The following is a 6,032-nucleotide window of genomic DNA, read 5'->3' as shown; positions in this document are numbered from 1 at the left end:
ATCTTTGTTTAAACAAAGCTGATACCATTGTTTTTCTCCTTATCAATCTCCTGGAATTTCCTTTCACTTTAAGAAGAATTCAATATTTGTTTAGATGATTCCACTCTGGAGAGGACTTAATCTCTGCTTACTTGTTCAACTTTTCCCCCATCTGCTTCTCCCCTGAGTCATGGTTCAGTGATGATGAACGGTGCATGGTTCTTCGAGAAGCTTCTGGTCTCTATCACTTCCAGTAGTCTGTAATGATATTCTTGCTGCCTAGAAACATTTGCTTTCCTTTATATCCATTTTGAGTGGCTAATTCTTCACATTGCAGCTTAGAAATTACTTCTCTGGGATGCCTTCCTTGATTTTTAAGACTAGGTTGTGGCCTTTCTATAGCCTAACCCTTACCACAACACATACTCACCGTAGTCTACTACCTCTTTGAAAAACTATGTATTAATCAGGTTATATCCTTGTGGTCAGCATGCAGTAGTTGTTCAGCAAACACTTACTGAAGAAATGGCATGCTGATAGGAAGGAAACTGGGGCCATCTGTGGAATTACTTCTAGTAAAATGTATACTTTTGGCTCAATTATCCTATATTTTGAGATAAAGCCTGTGAATGTGTCTATGTGTGTGTGCGTGTGTGTGTGCGTGTGTGTGTGCGTGTGTGCATATACATGTTTAAAAGTTATTAGGGCTATTATTGTCGGTATTTCCTTTTCTAAGCTAGATAGATAAACTAGGCTCATTCAGAAGACTGAGAGCAATTTTTAGATTTGAGGTACTCAGCTCACCTGTATTTGTTTTCTATTGCTATATGATAAATTACCACAAAATTTGTGTCTTAAAATCATACCCATTAAACATCTCACAGTTCTGAAGATCAGACGTCTAGCTCAACATGGCTGGGTTCTCTGTCCAGAGTACCACAAAGCTGAAATTAAGATATCATCTAGACTGAATTGTCTTCTCCAAGATCTAGGAAAAACAAGTCCTCTTTTAAGCTCATTCTTGTTGGCAGAATTCAGTTCCTGTGGTTGTAGGACTTAGGTCCCTGTCTCCTTGCTGGCTGTCAGCTCTCAGTTTCTGGTGGCCTGTTGCATTCCTCATGGTCATCCCTTCCATCTTCAAGCAAGCTATGGTGTGCTGAACCATTCACATGTTTTCAATCTCTGACTTTCCTTTCTGCTGCTGGAGAAGACTTTCTGCTTGCAAAGGGCTCATGTGTTTATGTCAGGCCCACATATGCTCTTTATCTTACAGTCAATTGATGTGGGACCTTATTGACATCCATGAAATCTCTTCAGAGTTGAATCAAATACCTATATTGGTGTTTGATTGAATAAATGGGAAGTATGCATATATCAGGGGCCAGGAATCTGGGGCCGTCATTGTAAAATTCTACCTACCACACCACCAAATTATATAAAAAATGAAAATAAATGAAAACCAATTAGAATATCAACAACAAAATTTGGTGATAAGAATTGGGTTTGAGTGGCAGGAGACATGCTCTAATTTTTGAAGGGAAATCCAGCTTCCTGATAATATCACACTTGATATTATGTGCTGTGAAACTTGTCCTATACAAACATTAATAGATGTAAATTCAGGGCTGCTTTTTAGCTTCTGTTCCAGGTTAGATGACTTTCTCATTCACAGCCTCTGTTTGGCCTTAGGCACATGTTTTACTGAATTCCTCATCTTTCTCCATTTTCATTTCTATTACCATTGTCATCATCATTTTTAATCACACCATTTACTGAAGATTTACTCTGTACCAACATGCTAGGTATCTCACTCCATTTAATTTCTTCAATAACTCTTACCTAGTTATGAGTGTGCCCATTTCATTAATTCACTTAAGACCAGTCAGCAAATAAGTAGTCGAGGCTCTGGTTGTCAGATTCTAAAGTCCCTTTCTTTCTCCTCAATGTTATACTGGTGTCTTTCAAGGATGTGATAAACCAGGTTCATTCAGGAGCATGTGTTGGAAAGATAAGGACTAGAACTCAACGCCTCACACTTCCAGGCTTATCCTTCCAGCTCTTTAGCTGTTGAGTCAATAACTGAAAAGGTGCCCTGCCTGCCTTCTAAGAAATTGGCTCCTGTAGGCAAATGACACAGTCTTCATTTATTTCCTCTGACATTATGAATTAATTGTGAACTAAGTGACCAAATCATCATAATACAATTGGCCTCTAAATACTAAATTGTAAACTTGTGTGAATCAGGATCATGTGTCCTATAACATTTCTTTCTTTCCTTTTTAATTGAGCTTCACTCTGACATTCTCAGTAAAATCTAACAATGGGTTGCTCTGTTTCAAGAGTTAGTCAAACCCAGCTGTTATGAAAATAATATGTTTGAGAAAATTGACTTGACATTTGATGGCCTTACGATACTTCTGACAGGATATAATCAACTCATTGGGGAGAAACAGAAGCATTCCTTGTATAGCCACGTTATTTCTGGGCATGACCGAATTCCCTCAAAGTGGAGTGGGTGAGTTTTCAGGGCAAGCTGAGACTTCATCGCCTCGAGCCCTGCAGTCAAAGTGACTGAATGTACTTTTTCTTCCCTTGTCCACTGCCCTTGATCTGATGAAAGGGAAACATTACTTTCCTAAGCCAACAATTTCTTTTTTCTTCTTCTTTTCCTCTCCTGAAGTCTAAATTTATTACAAGGGCTTGGGTTTTAAAAGAGTCTCTCAGTCTTTCTTCCACTCAGGAACAGCTGGGACAACTCTCTTGGGAAAGTGATTAGAAGCAGGAAGTGGCAATTGGGATTCCTGATTTCAGTTCCCAGGCCTCTCCTGAGCTCTCTGTGGGACTCTGAAGGGCTCATCTCAACCTCTTTGCTAAGTTCCTTGCTATAAAATTTCAGCCTCTAACTCTCTGCTGCTTTGCTTGTGTTCTTTCCCAAACAGGCGATATGAAGAACAGGGAAGAGAACGAACTTTAGAGTCGAAATCCCAGCTCTCTAGGGTCTAGAAAGTGATCGAGCTTTTTCAGGCCAGATTTTCATGTTCGTAAAATGAGACCAATAATGAGACCAATAACCTTGAAAAGCTACCATAAATATCAAATGAGAGCAAACATAGAAAATACCTTACATAGTTCTTGGCAGGTCTTTTAAATTCTATACTAGATTTACTTGCCCGGAACTTTCTGCAATTTCTTTAAGTCATTCTATTCAATCTGTCAGTAAATATGTGCTTGACCTTAAGTTTTTAAAAAATGCTTCATAATAATCATATTAAATTGAATTATTACAATTAGAATTTATATATATACTATAAATTTCAGCTTATAGAGCTTATTGTTAAGGCTATCCTCACTTAATGTTCTAATTCACTGTATCACAACCTCCACCAGAAAAGGAATTGTGTCTATCTTATCATGTCTGTGTCATGAGTATCTAAAAAAAGTCCGGGGTGAGAGGGAATAGTTTCCAGATGAAACTGTTCCAACTCAGATCACTAGGCATTAGTTAGATTCTCATAAGGAGTGTGCATTCTAGATCCCTCACGTGTGCAGTTCATGATAGGGTTCACGCTCCTATGAAAATCTAATGTCACTGCTGATCAGACAGGGAGGTGGAGCTCAGGCAGTAATGCTCATTTGCCTGAGCTCACCTCCTGCTGGGCAGCCTGGTTCCTAACAGGCCACAGACCAGTACTGGTCCATGGCCCGGGGTTTGGGATCCCTGACCTAGAGATTTGCTAAATGAGTAAATTATGTAATTAATTAAATGTCTTTCCAAATATTTTATATTCTCTATGTTTGGCTTTCCCTTGTGTATTTTATATCAGGGGTTGGCAAACTAAGGCCTAAACACTACCTGTTGTCTGTTTCTGTAAATTTAAATTCAGCCATGCCCATCCACTACATAGTGCTTATATTTGCTTTTGCACTGCTGCAAAAGCAGTTTAATAGTTGTGCCAGAGAGTATATATATCGTGAGATGCAAAATGCTTACTGTCTAGTTCTCTGTCTTTTACTAGAGTGATATTTCCAAAGTAAAAATCCAATTATTTCACTATCCTTGTTTAAAGTCCTCAATGACTCAATCATTGTCATAAAGAAGTCTAATATTTTTCTATGATGTGAGCTGAACCCTGTCAATCTCTGCAGACTCATCCTTTGCTACTTTTTTTCTTAAACCATGTAATTTTTCAGCCTGTGAAAGGTGCCGGACCTTTGTGTAAGCTATTGCCTGTGCTGGGAACACTGTTCCTTCCAATTTTTCCTAGTTAACCTCTACTCATCCTTCTTGAATTTGCTTAAACATCATTTCTGTGGGAATGCTTTCTCTGAAGTTACCTGTGAGAATGCTTTCTCTAAAGAAGTTAGTAGCTTCTTGTTCATGGTCCAATTGCATCTTGTACTTTTCTTGTTCCAGCACTAATCAGCACTTTGCTAATGATAAAACACACATGCAAAGGGATTATTCAATTTGACCATGGTAGTAAGCAGAGAGTTTGGGATTTGAATTGAGATCTGTCTAAATCTAATGGCCACTTTCTTTCTATCACACTTTGCATTTGATTAATATCTAAGATAATATTTATAGCACGTGGAGTCGGTACAGGATGAGGTATGGGTCTAATGAAGCATAACCTTGGGATTTTCTAATGAATGTACAATCCCAGCCACAGAATTAGTAATAATGGTAGCTGCGACAGACCTGTAACAGTCAATTTAGTTGGCAAGTGCCAAGATTTATAGATGTCCCTGTCATTATAAGTCATCTGCTGTTTCATAACAAATTACCCCAATACACAGAGGCTTCAAAGAACAATGCTGTATCATCTTACAGTTCTATGGATCAGAAATCTGGGTGTGGCTTTGCTGGGCACCTCTGGCTCAGCATCTCTCAAGAGGTTGCAGTCAAGTTGTAAACCAAAGCTGTGATCTCATCTGAAGACCTGACTAGAGAGACATCTGCTTCTAAGTTTACTCACATGGTTGTTGGAAGGCCTCAGCTCCTTCCCATGTGGTTCTCTCCACACAGCTACCTCACATCATGACAGCTGGCTTTCCCCAGGGAAAAATGATCTAAGAGGGTGAGGCACAACTCCCAACATGGAGTCTTCTGTAACTTAATCTCAAAAGTGACATCACATCATTTTAAACATATTCTATTCATTAGAAGCGAGTCAATAGATCAGGCCCACACAGAAAAGGAATTAGACAAAGACATGAACACCAGGAAGTGGGGATCATTGGCGGCCATCTTGGAGTTGGCTTAGTCTCCTGCCCTTACTTTGCATTCCACCTGTGAAGTTTTAGACGCCAGAGATTCCTTCGGATTTAAATTATAGGTTTGTTCATGCTTTTCTACAGGAACATATGGAGTATTTGCATATTGACATTTTGGGTTGAATAATTCTTTGTTACTGTGGGCTATTTTGTGCCTTACAGGATGTTTAGAAGCATCCCTGGCCTCTACCCACTAGATCCCAGTTGCACCTCCTCTATTCAGTTTAACAATCACAAAAATGTCTCCAGACACTACCACGTTCATAGATTCATGAGAAGTCACCCTTGGGGGCTGAGGCTGAGTTAGTGAGGAATGTTGCCAGCCTCAACGAAGTCAGGCTTCTGCCAAGAGAGAGTATGAACAGATGTAGGGCAGGTAACTGGCAGTGTTGTTTTAAAGAAATCTAAATCCTAACTTACATAGTTCCGGGTAACTGGATAATAGGATAAAAATATGAAAAACACTTTGTAAGTTTATAAGAGCCCAGGTATGAAGGTATTAAAAAGACACCTTGAGTCCATATTCGATGCCCAAATCTCTCAACAGTAGAAATTCTGACTTAGAATGACTAAGTTTATCAATGCTTAAAACTTAATTCCTTCTACTTTTATCTATTAAACATTGATTTTCCCGAAGAATTTTGACATCTGGTTCTCTTATTCCAGAAATTGGCCTAGGTCTTAATACATATTTTATGAATGAATAAATGACTTTTATTCATCCCTTTGGCTTTTACCATTTGTATGTAAACAGATGATATTAGAGCATAAATATACAG

Source organism: Homo sapiens, chromosome 8 (assembly GCF_000001405.40).
Source record: "Homo sapiens chromosome 8, GRCh38.p14 Primary Assembly".
In the NCBI taxonomy this organism is placed as follows: domain Eukaryota; kingdom Metazoa; phylum Chordata; class Mammalia; order Primates; family Hominidae; genus Homo; species Homo sapiens.
This window is presented reverse-complemented; position numbering follows the sequence as displayed.